The sequence below is a fragment of the Homo sapiens genome, chromosome 4, assembly GCF_000001405.40.
Source record: "Homo sapiens chromosome 4, GRCh38.p14 Primary Assembly".
NCBI lineage: Eukaryota > Metazoa > Chordata > Mammalia > Primates > Hominidae > Homo > Homo sapiens.
Genome location: NC_000004.12, coordinates 36,924,435 through 36,948,020, shown reverse-complemented (window position 1 = coordinate 36,948,020; position 23,586 = coordinate 36,924,435).

Below are 23,586 nucleotides of genomic sequence, written 5' to 3'. Positions count from 1 at the left end.
TTTTGGATATCCCAGGATCAAAATTATAAACATGTGTAACTGCACCAGTGCTTATACAGTTTTGGCCGTTTCAACAGCAGCACCTTGACTGTCTCTGCTACTGTCAGGTTAGTACCCTCTAAAAGCCTTTCCAATACATTTGCCAGTTAGCTGCTGTGGGACTGCACCACTGTGTAAACCATTATTTTTAAGTTTTAAAATTTTGATATTATGAAAAAATGCTTAACATATGGAGGGTTAAGCAAGGAAGGAGGGCTGGCACATATATTGACATGGTATCTAATATATGCCAGGTCTTGTGCTTAGTAGTTACCTGTGTATTATATATTTTACAGTTTTGGAGGCTGAAAAATCCCTGATGAAGGCCTGGCAGCATTGGTTTCTAGCAAGGGCTCTCTTGGTACATCCTCACGTGTGTCAGGGGGAAAGGTAGAGAGAGGGAGGGAGAAAGAGAGAGAAAGAGAGGGAAGGAAAGAGGGAGAGAAGAGAGGGGTAAGAGAGGGAGAGGAAAAAGGAGATGGAGGGAGAGAGAAGAATGGAAAAAGAACATGTGAATTTTCTGACATCTCTTCTTATAAGGTCACTAATCCCGTTGATAGAGCCCCACATTTATGATCTCAATTAACCTTAATTACCTCCATAGAAGTCCCTTCTCCAAATATAGTCACATTGGGGGTTTGGGCTTCAGTACATGAATTTTGGGGGAACATTTCTTATTCCACCTTGGCCTCATATCAGTTCTGAGACTCAGACATCATTATTCACACATTCGGATGAGGTTCAGAAAGTTGAGGGGCATACTGAAGTTTAGAGAGCTAGTACAGGTCCAAGCTGGGAATTTAATTTAGATATTTCAACTCCATATTTGTCTCTTGTTATGACATTTCTTGTGATCTCCAGGAATGATACCTATTCTTTCAGTTTTTCAAGCCACTAACCTCAGCCTCAGTTTGGTTATCTTTCTAATGTACAGCACCTTTCTTCTCTATCCAGTCCATCAGTATGTCTAAATATCTCTTGTCAAGTCCATTTTTCAACACTATTCCTGTCACCTTAACCAGGTCCACCCTCTTTGCTGTGGATTATTGCAAAACCTTCACAACTAATCTCACCACCTTCCATCTTGCCCAATGTATATCACCCTCATACTTACAGCCAAATTGATCTTCCTAGACTGCAAACCTGATAGTCACTGGGCCCCTAAACACTTCTTTATGAGCTAATATTGTAGAAAAAAGTTCAGATTTCTTCATTTGGCATATAAGGCTCTTCATGATCTGGCTCTCATGGTTTCTCACTTGAGGATGTTTGTACATCCTGCTGCTTCTTTCTGAAACACTGTTTTCCATGTTCTTCATATAGAGAGCTTTCATCATCCTTTAAACTCATCTTCAATGTCTTTTGCATTAAAAAGCCTCCCCTAATCCTGTCTCCATCTAGACTAGACATCTCTCCTCTGTATTCTTTCATTTCAATGTCATAAGTTCCATACCGTGCAGAGATTTAGCATTGAGCTGCATGAATGACACACAAAATTGTAACACTTTGACTCCGGAACCCTACTTTTGTAATACTTAGGTCTAGTTCTCACTCTATGTAATAGAGAAATACCCCAGAATAAAAGTGACTTAAACAAGATAGAAAAAATATATATATTTTTTTCATAAAAAGCATACCTGGAGTTTAGGAAGTCTAAGGCTTGTGTAATATCTTTTCATCATCAAGATGCAAACTACTTTTATCTTCTCACTTTACTCTCTTTGTCATGGATTGGTAAACTAGTTCCCATAGGATGGCCAAGTGTTTTGCAAATTGAGTTTTACTGGAACACAGCCATGCTCATTCTTTCAGGCATTGTCTATGTTGCTTTTCTGCTATAATGACACTTGAGTAGTTGTGATAGACTCATGGCCCACAAAGCCAATTGCTATGGATTGGCTTCTTCCTTTGGAATCTTAAAGAAAAAATTTTAATGATCTTAACGTCACTTCATGTTCCAAAATGGCTTCTGTAACTCCAGAAATTTTTTTATTATTTTAAAATTTTTCTGTAGGGACAAGTTCTCACTATGATGCCCAGGCTGATCTCAAGCTCCTGGCCTCAAGCAATCCCCCTACCCCGGCCTCTCAAAGTGTGAGATTACAGGCCTGAGCCACCATACCTGGCCAAATTCTTTTATATAACTTATAGCAGAAAGAAGGAAATGTAGAAATTCAGGTCACTCCCTTTTAGGAAATTTTCTCAGAAGTTCCACGCCACGCTGCCCTTACATCTTGAGAACTGGCCAGAATTCAATAATATGGCTATCCCAAGCAGCAAAGGAAGCTGGGAAGTGTAATCTTTTATTACGTGCAGCAATGTGCCCAGCTAAATGCCGATTAGGAAGAAGGGTTGGAGTGATGCTGTAGTAAACAATTAGCAGTCTCAGTCACAGTCTTATCAAAAATGTTCTCCCCAGCACCAAGAACCTAGTAGGTGCTCAATAAACTTATGATGAATATAATTGTCTGTAAAGTGCTCAGTGCTGGTTACTTCCAGTGTTCAACCAGTGACTTCTGGTTTATGCTACAGAGAATGAAAGTTTCCAGAGGGTTGACCTCTGCGTAAGTAAGTTGTGGCTGCCCTGAATAAAGTTTTATCAATTCCAGTGCTCCAGTTTGCCTTTCCTTTGTGGACACTGTTTTTACTAGTGATTTGATTAAAACTATATATTTCAGCTAGTAGTATAAAATGTAATAATATAAAATGTGTTAGAATTACTTCTTTGATAAAGCAAAGGTGATATTTCTGGGTTAGGCATGCAGGAATGAGAGGAAAGACTAATGATTGTTTTCTTTCATCAGTAGTGGGAGCAACACTACTGAACAAGAGCAGAAAGATGCCTCAGCGTTGTTTCGAAAATCTGTGGTTTCCAAAATCCTCAGTGTTTCTATGACAGTTTCTTTAGATGCTTATGGTGACTTTGGATGTGAACTCAAGCAGTGCGGTGGTTAGCAAACGTCTCTCACATATGGAATATAAAACAATGGGCTGTGGCCATAGGCTGTGATCCCACAGAGCCTCTCAACTTCTTATTTTCATGTCTCTTTTTACTCATCTGTCTTGAAAAGAGATGCTGGGTGTGATTTTGGCTGAGGCTTCTCTGATCTCTGACGCCACAGGGTCCTTAATGCCCACAGTTAGATTCCGCTATAATTTCTCAACCTCTTTCTGCTTTGGGATACAGTTCTTCATGTAACGATTGCCTACTCTAAGGGGTCATTTTACAATGATTAGAGAGTCAGGTTATACTCTTTAATTACTTCTTGAGTGTGAATGAAGCCCGCGCTAGTCAAACAAAAGTGTGAGCGGTGCTGGGCTAGCTAATATGGTCTGTCTGTGGATGGAACACAGCCTGCCAGTTCATTCTTTCCTTGCTTAATGAACACTGCATTGAAATTTTTTCCCCCAAATTTGTAGCTTCTAATTAGCTTTGAAATGATTTTGTGGTTCAATTTAAAGTCTGCCTTATCCCTTCCGTGATTCCTTTGGGACTGGTTGTTCATCAAAAAAGAAAAAAAAGAACATTTTGCATTTTTATAGTGCTGTGCACTGGCCCATGGAGGGGCAGCAGATGTTCTTGAGTTCTCCCACCCACACATCCAAATGCAAATAATCTTGGTGCTCCTGGCAAACTTCTACCTCATAAAGCATTACTCTTCTAGTATTGACAAAGGCTTCATCCCACAAAATGTTCATGAAGAACAAATTCAAACACTAACACATAACGGTAAAATGTACTTTATGTACCTGAAGGAGCTCTCAACTTGAAATTGGATAATCATTGTGTGACCTTGGGTAAATTTTTTATTCTTTCTTAGGCTTCAATTTTCTTATATGGAAACTAAAATTGGTACTATCCACATTATCAGACTGTGCTTGACACATAGTTGGCATTCAACTATTAACTTTTGTATCTGATTAGAATGTACAAAGTGTTTAGAGTCATTTTAAAGATGCTAAATATTTAGAATAAATAGCTTTTTCTCCTCAGCACTTTCTTTTATTTTGACTTCTGGGACAATAGTCTTTCATCATCTCACTGATATTCTGACTTCTTTATTTTCTTTAAGTAATACTATAATAGATTATTTCTTATGTATCCTTCTTTCTCCCTATGTATGCATCTATGTGTCTATCTACCTATCTAGCCATCCTTAATATATTTATAGTAATTTATTGATTTTCTCCCATTTGGATATTTAAACATTTCCTAGAGGCTCTATTTGGCGTTGTGGGTGAAACCAAGATAAATTAAGTATGGGTACTGTATCTCAAAATACTGATGCTGCTGATAGTGATATTTACCATGTGCTAGGAATTTATTTGCATTGCTTCATTTAATCCTTCCAACATCCATTTAAAGAGAAAGTACTGAGTTGATAAGTTTTCACTCAAGGCCACACTAGTGACTTAGTGAATAAATAGTGAAGGTAAGCCTAAATTCAAATCTGAGCTTTCCAACACCAAACCCTTAGTCTTAACCACTGCAGAATATTTCTTCTTAATTTTCTCTCTTGTGCTTTATGAATAATTTTATCATCAATAATTTGAATGATTTCTCTAACTTTTTTATTTTGATCTGTTCTAACATTCTTTTATTATTTAACATTATGAAATTAGATTTCTGTATAGTTTCTCTACCATAGTTAATACCAACCATTTCGGCTTTTAAAATTCTCATTTAGAAGTTCTCCTGTCATACTTCTTTACTGAATATTTCCACTGCAAAAACAGAATCAAGACATTTAAAAATTTTTCATGATACCATTGTACCTCATTTAAACTTTCAAACTTTTGAACTTTTCCTTTATTCTCTACTTCTGTGAGATTTCTAACTCCTTGGCATTGACTCTACAATTGCACACTTTGATTACTCAATTACTTGCTTCTATCTTGAGTTCAACTCCTATCCTGACTTTCACTGAAACAGCTTGTGGTGCGACATTTAGATATATTATTCATCCACCACTTTGAAAACAGCACGTAATTTCTCTCAGTTTCCAATTTTTAAATCTTTTTTGCTGTATTTCTTGAATTTTTTTATTTTAATGTTTAGACCTCAGGGATGGAGTTGGATTTATCAGATTTCTCAATTCATGGTATATTGTCATCATTGATCTCTGCTTCTTTCTAGTTTTATTATTTTTTATTAATATTTTGATGCTCATTTTTTTACCACAGATATCCACCCTAATGTGTAAATATATGTCTTTAATGTCTTTACATATTTAAGCATCCTTAAATATGTGTAATGTTCTATGTATTTATGTTTGACCTAAATATATGTTGTAGTTTTTATTCTCTTACAACCTTAAAATTTGATGTTATCTGATTTTCTAATTTCTGCCCATTCTAAAGGAAATATTTTATTATTTTAATATTTTGTTATTTTAATATTATGTTATAGATTTACATGATCCAAGTGACTTTTTGCTAAAAGGACATATTGCATAGTGGCAAAGTTGGGGCTTTTATTGCACCTGTTGCCCAAAGAGTAAACATTGTACCAGATAGATAATTTTATAATTCTCTTCCCTGTCTTGCCCTCTTTTGGAGTCCCCAATGTGTATAATTCCATTCTGTACATCTATATGTACCCATTGTTTAGCTCCCACTTATAGGTGAGAACATGCAGTATTTGACTTTCTATTTCTGAGTTATTTCATCTAGAATAATGGCCTCCAACTCCATCCATGTTGCTGCAATAGGCAGGATTTCATTCTTTCTTATGGCTGAGTAGGATATGTATATTATATATATTATATTATATATATATAATATGCATAATATATATATTATATTATATATATTATATTATATATATAATATGTATAATATATATATTATATTATATATATTATATTATATATATAATATGTATAATATATATATTATATTATATATATATAATATGTATATAATACACACACCCCATGTTTTCTTTATCTGAGTATTCATTGATAGACACTTAGCTTGATTCCATGATTTTGCTATTGTGAATCATGTTGTAATAAATATACAAGTGCAGGTGTCTTTTTGATATAATGATTTCTTTTCCTTTGGGTAGATACCCAGTAGTAGGATTGCTGGATCAGATGATAGTTCTATTTTTTAGTTTTTTTGATAAATCTCCATACTGTTTTCCATAGAGGTTGTACTAACTTACATTCCTACCAACAGTTTGTAAGGATACCCTTTTCTCCACATCCTCACCAACATTTGTTCACTTTTGACTTTTTTAAAATTATACTTTAAGTTCTGGTATACATGTGCAGAACGTGCAGGTTTGTTACACAGGCATACACGTGCCATGGTGGTTTGCTGCACCCATCAACCTGAGATCTACATTAGGTTTTTCTCCTCATGCTATTCCTTCCCTACTCCCCGACTCCCCGGCAGGCCCCGGTGTGTGATGTTCCCTCCCTGTGTCCATGTGCTGTCATTGTTCACCTACAACTTATAAGTGAAAACATGCAGTGTTTGGTTTTCTGTTCTTGTGTTAGTTTGCTGAGAATGATGGTTTCCAGCTTCATCCATGTCACTGCAAATGTCATGAACTCATCCGTTTTTATGGCTGCATAGTGTTTCAAGGTGTATATGTGCTACATTTTCTTTATGCAGTCTATCATTGATGGGCATTTGGGTTGGTTCCAAGTCTTTGCTATTGTGAATAGTTCTGCAATAAACATACATGTGCATGTCTCTTTATATTAGAATTATTTATAATCCTTTGGGTATATACCCATTAATGGGATTGCTAGTCATATGGTATTTCTGGTTTTAAATCAATGAGGAATCACCACACCGTCTTCCACAATGGTTGAACTAATTTACACTCCCATCAACAGTGTAAAAGGATTCCTGTTTCTCCACATCCTGTCCAGCATCTGTTGTGTCATGACTTTTTAATGATCACCATTCTAACTGGCATGAGATGGTATCTCATTGTGGTTTTGATTTGCATTTCTCTAACAACCAGTGATGATGAGCTTCTTTTCATATGTTTGTTGGCCACATAAATGTCTTCTTTTGAGAAGTGTCTGTTCATATCCTTTGTCCACCTTTAGATGGGGCTATTTTTTTTCTTGTAAATTTATTTAAGTTTCTTGTAGATTCTGGATATTAGCCCTTTGTCAGATGGATAGATTGCAAAAAAATTTCTTCCATTCTGTAGGTTGCCTGTTCACTCTGATGACAGTTTCTTTTGCTGTACAGAAGCTCTTTAGTTTAATTAGATCTCATTTGTCAATTTTGGCTTTTGTTGCCATTGCTTTTGGTGTTTTAGTCATGAAGTTTTTGCCCATGCCTATGTCCTGAATGGTACTGCCTAGGCTTTCTTCTACGGTTCTTATGGTTTTAGGTCTTATGTTTAAGTCTTTAATCAATCTGGAGTTAATTTTTGTATACGTTGTAAGGAAGGGGTCCAGTTTCAGTTTTCTGCATATGGCTAGCCAGTTTTCCCAATACCATTGACTAAATAGGGAATCCTTTCCTCATTGCTTGTTTTGTCAGGTTTGTCAAAGATCTGATGGTTGTAGATGTGTGGTGTTATTTCTGAGGCCTCTGTTCTGTTCCATTGGTCTACATATCTGTTTTGGTATGAGTACCATGCTGTTTTGGTTACTGTAGCCTTGTAGTACAGTTTGAAGTCAGCTACCGTGATGCCTCCAGCTTTGTTCTTTTTGCTTAGGATTGTCTTGGCTATATGGGCTCTTTTTTGGTTCCATATAAAATTTAAAGTAGTTTTTTTCTAATTCTGTGAAGAAAGTCACTGGTAGCTTGATGGGGATAGCACTGAATCTATAAATTACTTTGGGCAGTATGGCCATTTTCACGATACTGATTCTTCCTATCCATGAGCATGGAATGTTTTTTCATTCGTTTGTATCCTGTCTTATTTCCTTGAGCAGTGGTTTGTAGTTCTCCTTGAAGAGGTATTCCTAGGTATTTTATTCTCTTTGTAGCAATTGTGAATGGGAGTCCACTCATTATTTGACTCTCTGTTTGTCTATTATTGGCATACAGAAATACTTGTGATTTTTACACATTGAGTTTTGTATCCTGAGACTTTGCTGAAATTACTTATCAGCTTAAGGAGATTTTGGGCCGAGACGATGGGGTCCTCCTAAATATACAATCATGTCATCTGCAAACAGAGACAATTTGACTTCCTTTCTTCCTATTTGAGTACCCTTTATTTATCTTGCCTGATTGCCCTGGCCAGAACTTCCAATAATGTGTTGAACAGGAGTGGAGAGAGAGGGCATCCTTGTCTTGTGCCGGTTTTCAAAGGGAATGCTTCCAGCTTTTGCCCATTCAGTGTGATATTGGCTACGGGTTTGTCATAAATAGCTCTTATTATTTTGAGATCCGTTCCATCAATACCTAGTTTATTGAGGGTTTTTAGCTTGCAGGGGTGTTGAATTTTATTGAAGGCCTTTTCTGCATCTATTGAGATAATCATGTGATTTTAGTCATTGGTTCTGTTTATTTGATGGATGACGTTTATTGATTTGTGTATGTTGAACAAGCATTTCATCTCAGTTAGGAACCCAACTTGATTGTGGTGGATAAACTTTTTGATGTGCTGCTGGATTTGGTTTGCCATGATTTCATTGAGGATTTTCACGTTGATGTTCATCAGGGATATTGGCTTGAAATTTTTTTTTTATAGTGTCTCTGCCAGATTTTGGTATCAGGATGATTCCAGACTCATAAAATGAGTTAGGGAGGAGTCCCTCTTTTTCTATTGTTTGGAATACTTCCAGAAGGAGTGGTACCAGCTCCTTTTTGTACCTCTGGTAGAATTCAGCTGTGAATCCATCTGGTCCTGGGCATTTTTTGGTTGGTAGGCTATTAATTACTGCCTCAATTTCAGAGCTTGCTATTGGTCTACTCAGGGATTCGACTTCTTACTGATTTAGTCTTGGGAAGGTGTATGGGTTCAGGAATTTATCCATTTCTTCTAGATTTTCTAGTTTATTTTCATAGAGGTGTTTATAGTATTCTCTGATGGTGGTTTGTATTTCTGTGGGATCAGTGGTGATATCCCCTTTATCATTTTTTATTGTGTCTATATGATTCTTCTCTTTTCTTCTTTATGAATCTTGCTAGTGGTCTATTTTGTTGATCTTTTCAAAAAACCAGCTCCTGGATTTATTGATTTTTTTGAAGGGTTTTTCATGTCTCTATCTCCTTCAGTTCTGCTCTGATCTTAGTTATTTCTTGTCTTTTGCTAGCTTTTGAATTTGTTTGCTCCTGTTTCTCTACTTCTTTTAATTGTGATGTTAGGGTGTTGATTTTAGATCTTTCCTGCTTTCTCCTGTGGGCATTTAGTGCTATAAATTTTCTGCTAAACACTGTTTTAGCTGTGTCCCAGAGATTCTGGTATGTTGTGTCTTTGTTCTCATTGGTTTCAAAAACTTATTTATTTCTGCCTTCATTTCATTATTTACCCAGTAGTCATTCAGGAGCAGGTTGTTCAGTTTCCATGTAGTTGTGCAGTTTTGAGTAAGTTTCGTAATCCTGAGTTCTAATTTGATTGCACTGTGGTCTGAGAGACTGTTTGTTATGATTTCCATTCTTTTGCATTCGTTGAGGAGTGTTTTACTTCCAATTATGTGGTCAATTTTAGAATAAGTGCTATGTGGTGCTGAGAAGAATGTATATTCTGTTGATCTGAGGTAGAGAGTTCTGTAGATGTCTATTAAATCTGCTTTGTCCAGTGCTGAGTTCAAGTCCTGAATATCCTTGTTAATTTTCTGTCTCATTGATCTAATATCAACAATGAGGTGTTAAAATCTCCCACTATTATTGTATGGGAGTATAAGTCTCTTTGTAGTCTCTAAGAATTTACTTTATGAATCTGGGTGCTCCTGTATTGGGTGCGTATATATTTAGGATAGTTAGCTCTTCTTGTTGCATTGATCCCTTTACCATTATGTAATGACCTTCTTTGTCTTTTTTGATCTTTCTTGGTTTAAAGCCTGTTTTATCAGATACTAGGATTGCAACCCCTGCTTTTTCTTTTTGCTTGCCATTTGCTTGGTAAATATTCCTCCATCCACTTATTTTGAGCCTATGTGTGTCTTTGCATGTGAGATTTGTCTTCTGAATACAGCACACTGCTGGGTCTTGACTCTTTAACCAATTTGTCCATCTGTGTCTTTTATTTGGGGCATTTAGCCCATTTACATTTAAGGTTAATATTGTTATGTGTGAATTTGTTCCTGTCATTATGATGCTAGCTGGTTATTTTGCCCATTAGTTGATGTAGTTTCTTCATGGTGTTGATGGTTTTTACAATTTGGTATGTTTTTGCAGTGGCTGGTACTGGTTGTTCTTTCTATGTTTAGTACTTCCTTCAGGAGCTCTTTTAAGGTAGGCCTGTTGGTGACAAAATCTCTCAGCATTTGCTTGTCTGTAAAGGATTTTATTTCTCTTTTGCTTATGAAGCTGAGTTTGGCTGGATATGAAATTCTGGGTTGAAAATTCTTTTCTTTGAGAATGTTGAATATTGGCCCCCACTCTCTTCTGGCTTGTAGGGTTTCTGCTGAGAGATCTGCTGTTAGTCTGATGGGCTTCTCTTTGTCGGTAACCCGACCTTTCTCTCTGGTTGCCCTTAACATTTTTTCCTTCATTTCAACTTTGGTGAATTCAACAATTATGTGTCTTTGGGTCCCTCTTCTCGAGGAGTATCTTTGTGGTGTTCTCTGTATTTCCTGAATTTGAATGTTGGCCTGCCTTGCTAGGTTGGGGAAGTTCTCCTGGATAATATCCTGAAGAGTGTTTTCCAACTTGATTCCATTCTCCCCATCACTTTCAGGCACACCAATCAAATGTAGGTTTGACGTTTTCACATAGTCCCATATTTCTTGGAGGCTTTGTTCATTCCTTCTCATTCTTTTTTCTCTAATCTTGTGTTCACACTTTATTTCATTAAGTTGATCTTCATTCTCTGTTACTCTTTCTTCTGCTTGATCAATTCAGCTATTGATACTTGTATATGCTTCACAAAGTTCTCATGCTGTGTTTTTCAGCTCCATCAGGTCATTTGTGTTCTTCTCTAAACTGGTTATTCTAGTTAGCAGTTCCTGTAACTTTTTATCAATGTTCTTATCTTCCTTGCATTGGGTTAGAACATGTTCCTTTAGCTCGGTGGTGTTCGTTATTACCCACCTTCTGAAGCCTACTTCTGTCAATTCATCAAACTGATTCTCCATCCAGTTTTGTTCCCTTGCTGGCGAGGAGTTGTGATCCTTTGAAGGAGAAGAGGCGTTGTGGTTTTTGGAGTTTTCAGTCTTTTTGTGCTGGTTTTTCCTCATCTTCATGGATTTATCTACCTTTGGTCTTTGATGCTGGTGACCTTTGGATGGGGTTTTTGTGTGGATGTCTTTTTTGTTGATGTTGATGCTATTCCTTTCTGTTTGTTAGTTATCCTTCTAACAGTCAGGCCCCTCTGCTGTAGGTCTGCTGGAGTTTGCTGGAGGTCCACTCCAGACCCTATTTTCCTGGGTATCACCAGCAGAGGCTGCAGAACGGCAAAGATTGCTGCTTCTTTCTTCCTCTGCAAGTTTCATCCCAGAGGGGCCCCTGCCAGATGCCAACCAGAACTCTCCGGTATGAGGTATCTGTCGACCCTGATGGGAGTTGTCTCTCGGTCAGGATGCACGAGGGTCAGGAACCCACTTGAGGAGGCAGCTTGTCCCTTAGCAGAGCTCGAGCACTGTGCTGGGAGATCTGCTGCTTTCTTCAGAGCTGGCAGGCAGGAACGTTTAAGTATGCTGAAGCTTTGCCCACAGCCGCCTCTTTCCCCTGGTGTTCTGTCCCAGGGAGATGGGAGTTTTATCTATAAGCCCCTGACTGGGGCTGATGCCTTTCTTTCAGAGATGCCCTGCCCAGAGAGGTGGAATCTAGATAGGCAGTCTGGCTACTGTGCCTTTGCAGAGCTGTGGTGGGCTCCACACAATTCAAACTTCCCAGTGGCTTTGTTTACACTGTGAGGGGAAAACTGCCTACTCAATCCTTATTAATGGTGGCCCTTCCCCCACCAAACTTGAGCGTCCCAGGTCATCTTCAGACTGCTGTGCTGGCAGTGAGAATTTCAAGCCAGTGGATCTTGGCTTGCTGAGCTCCATGGGGGTAGGATCCACTGAGCTAGACCACTTGGATCCCTGGCCTCAGCCCCCTTTCCAGGGTAGTGAACGGTTCTGTCTTGCTGGCACTCCAGCTGCCACTGAGGTATGAAAAAAAACTTCTGCAGCCAGCTCAGTGTCTGCCCAATTGGTGGCCCAGTTTTGTGCTTGAAACCCAGGGCCCTGGTGGTGTAGGCACCGGAGGGAATCTCCTGGTCTGTGGGTTGTGAGACCATGGGAAAAGCGTAGTATCTGGGCCGGATAGCACCATCCCTCATGACAGGGTCCCTCAGGGTTTCCCTTGGGTAGGGGAGGGAGTTCCCCAACCCCTTGCTCTTCTGGGTGAGGTGATGCCCCACCCTGCTTTGGCTTGCCCTCTGTTGGCTGCATCTACTGTCTAAACAGTCCCAGTAAGATGAGGTGGGTACCTCAGTTGGAAATGCAGAAAACACTTGCCTTCTGCGTTGATCTCACTGAGAGCTGCAGAATGAAGCTGTTCCTATTCTGCCATCTTGCCAGCCACATACCAGTGATCCAGTTTGAAGCCAACTTTTGACTTTTTAATAATACCCATTCTGACTGGTGTTAAGATAGTATCACACTGTGGTTTTTAAGTTGCATTTCTCTGATGATTAGTGATGTTGAGCATTTTTTCATGTTTTTTGGCCACTTAGCTGACTTCCTTGAAAAAATGCCTATTTATATCCTTTGACCAATTTTTAATGGGTTTATTTTTTCTTGTTGAATTGCTTGAGTCTCTTGTAGAATCTTGATATGAACTTTTTGGCAGATGCAGTGCTTGCTAATATTTTTCCCATTCTGCAGGTTGCTTGTTTACTCTGTTATTTATTTATGTATTTTTTCTGTGCAGAAGCTTTTTAATGTAGTTAAGTCTCATTTGTCTATTTTTGTTTGTGGTGCATTTGCTTTTGAGAACTTATTCATAAATTCTTTGCTTAGACCAATGTCCAGAGGAGTTTTTCCTAGGTTTTCTTCTAGGACTTTTATGTTTTGAGTCTTACATTTAAGTCTTTAATTCATCTTGAGTTAATTTTTGTACTTGGTGAGAGATATGTGTTTCATGAATGTTACACCATGAGACTTTCATTCTTTTGCATATGGCTATTCAATTTTCCCAGCCTTATTTATTGAACAATGTGTCCTTTCTCCAGTGTATATTTTTGTCAACTTTGTTGAACATCAATAGGTTTTAGGTATCTCACTTTATGTCTAGATTCTCTATTCTTTTCCATTGATCTATGTGTCTATTTTTATACCAGTACCATACTGTTTTGTGTACTATACCCTTGTAATATAAGCTGGAGTTTAGGATTGTTTTGGCTATTTGGGCCCTTTTTTTCTTCCATGTGAATTTTAGGATTTTTTTTCTAATTCTTTGAAAAATGACATTGGCAATTTAATAGGAATTGCATTGAAACTGTAGATTTCTTTGGGCACTGTGGCCTTTTTAACAATATAGAGTCTCCCAACCCATGAGTATGAGATGTTTTTTCCTTTGTTTAGGTTATCTATAATGTTTTCATTAGTGCTTTGTAGTCCCTTTTGTAGAAATCTTTTACCTCTTCAGTTAAATATATGTGTAGATATTTTATTTTTTGGTGTGGCTATTGTAAATGGGATTGAGTTCTCAATTTGGCTATCAGCTTGATTGTTATTCGTATATGGAAATGCTACTAATTTTTCTACAACTATTTTGTATCCAAAACCTAACTGAAGTCACTTATAAAATCCAGGAGTCTTTTGAAGAGTCTTTAACATTTTCTAGGTATAATATCATATCAGTTAGTGAACAGAGATAATTTGACTTTTCTTTTTTCAATTTGGACGCCTTTTGTTTCTTTCCCTTGCCTGATTACTCTAGCTAGGACTTCCACTACTTTGTTGAATAGGAGTGGTGAGAGTGGGTATCCTTGTCTTATTACAGTTCATAGAAAGGATGTGCTCAAATTTTCCTCATTCACTGTAACATTGGCTATGGATTTGTCATATATGGCATTTATTATTTTAAGGCATGTTCCTTTGGTATCTAGTTTGTTGAGAATTTTTATCATGAAGAGACACTAAATTTTATCAAATAATTTTTCTGCACCTATTGAGATGATCATATGGTTTTTGTTTTCAGTTTTCTTTGTATGGCGAATCACACTTACTGATTTTTATGTTAAATCACCCTCGCATCCCTGGAATAAACCCCACTTGATCATGGTATATGATATGGTTTGGCTGTGTCCCCACCCAAATATCATCTTGTAGCTCCCATAATTCCCACGTGTTGTGGAAGGGACTTGGTGGAAGATGATTGAATTATGAGGGTAGGTCTTTCCTGCACTTTTCTCTTGATAGTGAATGAGTCTCACAAGATCTGATGGTTTTAAAAATGGGGGTTTCTCTACACAAGCTCTCTTTTTGCCTGCCGCCACCCACGTAGATGTGACTTGCTCCTTCTTGCCTTCTGCCATGATTGTGAGGCCTCCCCAGCCATGTGGAAGTGTTAAGTCCAATAAACCTCTTTCTTTTTTAAGTTGCCCAGTCTCAGGTATGTCTTTATTAGCAGCATGAGAACAGACTAATACAGTATATTATATTCATGATGTGTTGTTGGAATTGGTTTGCTAGTATTTTGTTGTTTGTAGTATTTTGTTGATGTCTGGTAACATTTGGCTGTAAATCCGTATTGTCTTGGGATTTTGTTGTTACTGGGAATTTTTTTTAATTGTTGCCTCAGTTTCCCTACTTGTTATTGATCTGTTCTTGGTTTCTTTTTCTTTCTGGTTCAATCTTTGGAGGTAGTATATATCTAGGAACTTATTCATTTCCTCTAGGTTTTCTAGTTCGTGTGCATAGAGGTGCTCTAAGTAGTCTCTGATGATCTTTTGTATTTCTGTGGTATTAGTTGTATTGTCACCTTTCTCATTTCTGATTGTGCTTATCGGAATCTTTTTTTTTCTTGGTTAATCTAGCTAGCAGTCTGTTAATTGTGTCTGTCACTTAAGAGAGAGCCAACTTTTTATTTTGTTGATCCTTTGTATTTTTTTTTTTTGGTCTCAATATCATTTAGATCTGATCTGATCTTTGCTATTTTTTTTTCTTCTGCTAGCTCTGAGGGTTGTTTGTTCTTATTTTACCATAAATGCATGTTGGATTTTGCCAGTTATTTTTATGCATCAATGGTTTAATCATGTGGTTTTTCTTCTTTCACCTGTCAATATGAGGAATTACACTAATTGATTTCAAATGTTTAATCAGCATTGTATACCTGGAACAAATTCCACTTAGTCATGGTATATAATTATTTTTATATATTGTTGGATTACATTTGATAATTTCATTGAAATTTTTCTATCTATGTTCATGAAATATATTGGTCTTCAGTTTTCTTTGCTTGTAATATTTTTATCTGATATTAGAGTAATGCTGGTCTCATACATTGAATTAGGAAGTGTTCCTTCTGCTTCTCTTTTCTGGAATAGATTGTAGAGAAGTTGCATTATTTCCCCTTTAAATGTTTGGCAGAATTAGACACTCTTCATGCATGGTGTTTTGTTTTTTAAGTGATTCCATTTGTTTAATAGATACAGACCTATTCAGATTATCTTTTTCTTTTATGTAAGTATTAGTAGTTTGTCTTTCAGGAAATTGGTTCATTTTATCCAAGTTATCAAATTCATGGCATAGAATTGTTTATAATACTTCTTGATTATTCTTTTAATGTTCATAGGATTAATAGTGATAACCCCGATTTCATTTCCTACATTAGTAAATTGTATCTTCTCTTGTTTCTCTTGGTTAGCCTGGCCAGAGGTTTATCTGTACCACTGAGCTTTTTAAATAACCAAATTTTTGCCTCATTGATTTTTCTCTATCATTTTACTGTCTATTAAAGCTATAATTTTTATTTTTAATTTTCCTTTGTTGGCTTTAAATTTATATTTTTCTTATTTCTTTAGATTCCCAGAGTAGAAACTTGGATGATTGATTTTAGATCTTTCCTTTTTTCTAATATATGCATTCAGTGCACAATCAGCTGAAGAATGGCACATTTACCTCATTTCATTAACTTGGATAAGCAAGGTAGAATAATTGTTTTCTTTAAAATCGTATCGCATCTGACCCTAAAGTTATTGTGTAGATTTATTTTCACATAAAATCTGACCCTAAAGTTATTGTGTAGATTTATTTTCACATAAAAGTAAGTCATTTACTGCATGGATGACCATAAGATTTCAAAGGTTTGGGCCATTTTTTAATAATATCCTCACATCTGAATTGCTCTATTGCTTTAGTATGGATCCCTTATTGGTATTGCTGTGATGGTGTAAATGAGGTAGGATTCATTGAGTTTCTTTTCCTCTTCTTTTTCTATTTTTGTTTATGAATTGTAGCTTACCTATATAGTGGAATTCTATGACAACTATTTGATTTGTAGACATTGAATAGTCTCATCTTTGCGCAATTGAAGTAAATGTGGAAATCATAATATTTCTTTGAGATTGCAATTCAGATTGCTAACCTGTGGTTTAGTGTATCAATCTAAATGATCTAATAATTTATCAAATAATATACTTGCAATTATCTATTTCAAAATAATATAAATTGTGTTTAACTAGGGGTCTGTACATATGTGTGTATAATATGCATATATATAATCTGTTACATAACATAAATGTGGGTAAGTCATTTGTCTCTTACAGAAACATTTGATTCATTTATTGCCAGTAAAATATATCTTTCAAACTGTGCCTCATTTGTTGATTATGGAGGTAGCATGATAAAAGTAAGTTGGAAAATAGAACATGTTGATAAGTCTGATGCAAGAAGCCACTAAAATCATCCTCTGAATCATAGTGGCATCAATTTGAGAGGGATTGTGGGAAATATTATTATTTCCCCTGAGAGTAAGCAACAGCTGCCTTTTGAATTCACAGTGCTGTTTTCTGGAAGGTTTTGTAAGAATGTGTGACCAAAGTATCCTTTTACAGGGAAATTACTTCTAATAAGAGTCAGTGGTAGCAGATGCATGAAAAGCATCTTAAACCTGTTTTCTCACTGGGTCACTAAAAGATCAGAACTGATTATACCATTAAGAAGTGTGAGCTTGCCCAGGAAATGCGTGAACACCCTCTTGTCTAATTGGTTTTGTCAAATACATGAATATATTCTGTTCAATTCATTTACTGCTGATAGATTTGTCAATGGCCATTGCAAATAACATTATTTTATTACCTAAGGCTTAGTGTCTAGAAGGGTGAGCAGGTACAATTTATTGCCAAAAATAAAAATACATTTAGATTAGAAGTCTACTTTAAATTTACAAGCATTCTCAGTGGTTGGTGAAAAATAAGTTTCCAATAGAATTAATTATTTGCAATTGGATTAGTTTGATTCCTTTAGAGCAGTGATTCTTAGATTCAGGAGGGAGGTAGAAAAGCATTTGAAAATCAGATGAAAGTTAAAGGTCTTCACTCCAGAAAAATACACAAACACTGCACATTTTTTATATAATTCAGGGAATTTTTGACTTACCAAGCTCAACAACTCGAAGGTAATAAAAGACCCCTGTTTTGGTACACATGAAGTTGGTGAAGCTGTTTTTCAAATCAGTTCATGACTTTCCTGAGGCCCAATGGGTCGTTATTTCAAATCTCTAATGGAGGATGGGGCAGCAGAAAATTCTAAAGTGGGAACCACTGTTTCAGTGTTTTTCAAGCTTTCACATGAGCAAAATTCATCTAGAAATAAGTAAAAAGAAGGACATATTCCTGAGCTGTAATTTCAGAGATTTTAGTTGAGTCATTCTGGAGTGGGAAGCATAAACTCCATTTTTAAATAATTAGTCTTAGCGATGCTTCCATAGATTGCAGGTGGGCTATGTTTTTCAGAAACACTTTCTAACCTTCGCTAGGAAATCCTTCAAACTGCTGTTCACCAACACAACCATCTCTCTGCACACCACGCTTGGTGGTCCTGCGTGCCAGGCTTTCCAACAAACTGAGACAGCTCACCTGGCTTGGGCATCTTCTCCTCTTCTTCACTCTTCCACGGTTAACAAAATGCAAAGTCTTAACCTTGTCATTGGGTAGCTAACTTATCTGGCTGACCTAATGTAGCTCACTGTTATCAGTACTTAACAGCGAGAACCATTCCTGATCACCCTACATTCCTTAATAATCTGTGATAACATTGAATATCTGCAGAGCTTTTTATCACTGTTTCAAAAATAGCTGACATCAGTTAGTAAGCAGTAGGGCAAAACCTCTAGAAGGAAATGGTAAGATGAATGTAGTCTTCCTCTACATTACTGTTTCTTCCTTCCTACATGTTTCTTTGGGGAAAGAACTGAGACAAAGAAAAAAAAACTAGTATTTTTAACCTGGATCATAGTGAGAAAATGTCCATAGCTAAAATAAGAAAAGTTTTCATTTTACTTTCAGATATGAATTAGAATTTCTATCTTCCAACAAAAGTTTCTTTTCAATCATTAGCTCAAGATTGGTATCTCTGGGTCCAGGAATATGTACATATGTCTTTAGGTCTGTCTTTTTAATAATAACAATAATTATTATTATATTAATACCTATTAAAATATTATTTACATATTTTTAAATTATTAACATTATATAACATGATATAATATTGACATTAATAATAATTTACTAGCTTATTATGTTTCTCCCCTTTGTTTTATTTATTATCTTGTCAATGAGAGTTATAGACGAGGCATCTTAAAAAGAAATTAAGGACATAAAGCAGATATTTCTTAAAACTCTGCAGTTGAAACAACAGGGTTTTCTTACTTGACACAATGTTTCTTCACATTTCCAGGTTCTTCTCAAGGAAATAATTTTTATATAATAAATCTTTAATGAAACATTTAACACTAACTCTTGGTTTTTTAAATGTGCATATTGTGAGACTCATGCTGTGTATTCTTTATGAAGTAAAACTTGGTCTATGCATTGTTATATTCACTATGTCCAAAATAATTCAACCTTGTTAATAATCAAGAGAAATGTTTTTTTTGCTTTGTGAAAAAAGAAAAGTTTTTGCTAAGCATAAATGACATAAACCCTCCAGAAGTTGGAAAGCCCTTTTCAATAGTAGAAATACTAAAATATGTTTAAGAGACAAATGTTAGTTAAACAATATAGATAAAAGATGGTCATTTTAGGGAAAGGCAATCTGAAAATTGTAATGTGAATGGTTGCTTTCTCAGTGAAATGGCAGAGCAGAGTTGAGTAGTCTTGATAAGAACTAAATGAATCTCAAAGCCTAAAATATTTACCATCTACTTTGTTAACAAAATATTTGCAGATCCCTGGTCTACATTTTTTTCTGCTTTATTAAGTTATAGCTGAAAAAATATTTATACTTATGGTGTACAATGTGGCATTTTGATATCTGTATACATTGTAAAATTATTAAAACAACTAATTAATGTATCCATCACCTCACATACTTATCATGTTTTTGTAGAGAGAACATTTAAGATCTACTCTCTCAGCAACTTTAAAGTATACAATAAATTCTGAAAGCAGATAACCTGACTAAAATGTGTGCAAAGAACCTGACTGAATAGACATTTCTCAAAAGGAGACATGCAAATGGCCAACAGATAAATGAAAAACTGCTCAACATCACTAACCATCAGGGAAATGCAAATGAAAATCACAATGAAATATTATCTGTTAGAATAACTATTACCAAAAAGATGAAAAATATTTGTTGGTAAGGATGCAGAGAAAAGGGAACCTTTGTACATTGGTAGTGGGAATGTGAATTATTACAGCCATTATGGAAAACAGTATGAAGGTTCCTTTAAAAATTAAAAATAGAACTAGCATATAATCCTATAATCCAACATCTGGATGTATATCCAAAGGAAATGAAATCAGGACCTCATAGAGATATCTGTGTTCTAATGTTCATTGCAGCATTATTCATAATAGTCAAGACATGGAATCAACCCTATTATATGATTGAGTGAATTTCCAATTTTTGGAACTACAGTAAGGAAAACAAAAACTCAAGGTTAAATTACTTTAAATCAATACCTTTGTAAAGTTTCAGCATGGTCAATAACACACATCTACCTAGAATTTTATTCTTGAAATCTATGGTTACCTACCATTACCTTCATTTTTTCTCTAAGTGCATACATTGATTCATATCTGCATTGACACTTTGGTGGAATGTTAACTTTTTCCAGAAAGGCCAAACAGAATTACAATTGCCTCTAATCTGTGTTTTATGATTGTAGAGTGAGCACTTTGATCACCTATATACCTTAGAGCCCTATTCCATCTGATCAGCAGCAGTTATTTGAATTTGGTGTGTCTGCCTTTGAAACGAATTTAAGTTTAAAGTAGTGATTTTCAGGTCATTCCACATTTGCTATCTAACATAATACAATCCCTCTACAGGAGATTTTGTTTTGGTAGAGCAGGGAAGGATTGTAATCAAGCAGTGGTATTTGCAAGGGATTAAAGGAAGAAATAAACAGATCACATGGAAGAAATGGCAAACAGCCTGCTTGGCAGAATAAACACTCTGTTTCAAGACTTCTTGTTTGGGAGGACATATTACTTTGGTCCTTCCATTTTCTGGGGAGGTGAATTCCACTGCATTCCCCAGCAGATAACATTTTAGAGAAACATTCCGACCCCTCCCTCCCTTAGTGTTTCTCCCTACATGAGGTAGAGTAATTAATCTAATGAGTAGGGTTAGGGAAAGAGGCTCTGTCCAATGAAACTGCCCCCTTCCTTGCATCTCTTTGGTTCCAATTTCAAGCTACCTACTTGCAGGCTAAATGTGTTCTCTCTCCTCCTGTCTCCCAGGCATCAGAACAGGAGGGTAGCCTCCTGTGAGGGACAAGGAGCAGAGGTATACAGAAGCCAAAAGTCAATTTTGGCCTCTGCTTTAAATTGCAGTGCCCAATTAGTTTTGTAAGCAATGAAGCTTATATTGTGATGCTTATCTGAATCTGCTATTACTCAATTTTAAATTTAAAGAGAAGAGTGTGTAATTGGCCTCTCAAAACCTTAACAGTTCTTAGTAGTGATATGGGTTATACTGAAATGATGGAGATTTATTTGGGCATATACTACTTGTTTGTGAGACTGAGGGTACATTTGACTCTGATTGTCTCAGAGTGGAAGAATCTGTCCCAACAGTCTTGTCTTCATAGTTCAACCAAGATTTAAAATGACTTTCTGGGTCTGGAATGATGGTTTACAACACATATGGTATCACTGAACAAGAATTGATGTTCTGTATTTAGGGACACAAAATAAACCACCACCAACAATAACCAAATATTAGCTTACAGGTAGAATGGCAGAAATCTGACATGAGAAAAGTTTATATTAAAATGAAGATACAGTCTCAGTATAAGCCAAGAATATTATATTAATGTTACCAAGGCCGACTAACAATTAGGCAGCCTTAATAAAAGAAGAATGTCTGGATTCATGGAAGTAATTATTCTTTTCTGTTTTATACTTGTCAGACGGTAATAAATTATTTGAACTGTTTTTTAAAGAGCCCCACATACTTTGAGTGTTCTTAATAGGAATGGTCAAGATGAGAGATTTAGATAATGTGTCATTGGAGAGTGATTTAAATAACTTGCCCTGGACAAGAAAAGATGCAATAAGGAACAGGATAACTCTCTTTCAATATTTGAAAGGCTGTTGTGGGAAAATATTCAAATATTCTTTCCTGTCTACAGTCAAAAATAGAAGAAGCACATGTCAAATCACAGGATTTTACAAAAGTTAGAACAGTCCAGCAAATGGAACAGCTGATTATTGAAGTTATAAGAGCCTGGCTCATGGATGGGTACAAGTAGTTGCTGAATAAACCAATTAAAGGAGTTGTTGCTAAAATGATTCTCACTTAGATTGCTCAGTAGCAACTCTTTAAGTGAAGACTCTTGTGTGCTAATTCTGATTGTACCACTGAACAGTTGGTGACCTCATCTGTCAGCTTCTCTAGGCTTCAGTTGTTGCTTTTCCAGAATATCTGCCCATACTTATCCAGATTATTAAGAAAATACAATGACAAAATTGATATTAAAGTGGTTTAAACAGGACCTGTATATAGGCATCTAGTAATATATTTAGAATGGAGGCCAAAGTAGTGAATTATAAAATTTTAAATGCAAAGTGAAGTAGAATAAAATTTCTTAAACTTTAACATGCAAACACATATCCTGTGGAATCTCTCAAAATACAGACTCTGTTTCAGCAGGTCAAGTATATGGCCTGGGACCATGCATTTCTAACAAGTGCCAAGCCAATAATGACGCTAGTCTGTACACTAGCTTGGCAAAAGTCTTTGCTTGGCAAAAAAGGTAGAAGATACGGTTCAGGTCCTTGCATGCCCAATTAAGTAGCTCTCAGCCCACTCACTCTTAGGGATTCTCCTCTGGCAAAGCTCTCAATGGAGCAATTAACAAAATGTATGATTCCAGAACAGGCTGATGATGAGAAAGTTGCAAACCCATCCAGAAACTGTATATATACATTTACAGAATGACTCTATTATGACCACTGTATCTTAATTAGCTGTTTGCTATGATAACATATATGTGAAATGGCATTTCACGACATTTAAGTGTCAATACTGTTTGCACAATGAATCAGATCATTTAGAAGAAAAGTGAGTTTTAAAATGCAACGAAAACATGTATATGTAGTTATGGTTATTTGCTTGCAGGCAGTACAAATAAACTAGCTAATTTAACTGAAAAGGTAATTTGTTAGATGTATTTGGGATGGTATTCTAAGTGAGGTCAAAGATGAATTGGTAGCTAATAAGAAGGTTATAAAGGCATGAAATACTCAGTAGTCATTGCTGTAATGAATGAACTCCAGCAATCTCTTCTGTTCTTCTGTCATAAACAAGAGCCAAATCCACAGGAACATGCATCTGTCTGGCCCAACATAGGTCATGTTTTACAACATAGGTCATGTGCTTACTTCCTGGTTTACAGGAGCAGTGGGAGAAAGCCTCTGATGTCCTGACAAGAGGAGAATTGTGGGAAATGGGGCAACTCCAAGGAAAGAGACCAGTGATAATGAGAAACCAAACATCAATGTGGAAATAACTCTGAAATGCGTGTGTGTGTGTGTGTGTGTGTGTGTATGTGTGCATGTATTTCTCAAGTAATCATATGTCCTATACATGTTTTTTAAATTTAATACTAAAATTAAATCACACGTTTACAGTGTTTGTTCCTCTTTTATGAAATGTTTACTTTTATTATTTACCTATTAACATTCAGTGGTTTTCTTGTCAATTTCAATTAGCTCTTTAATACAAGTCATTAAAGCTTTGAGTATCCAAAAGAGACCTAATCATATGCAAATACTCTTTTCAAAAGCAATGC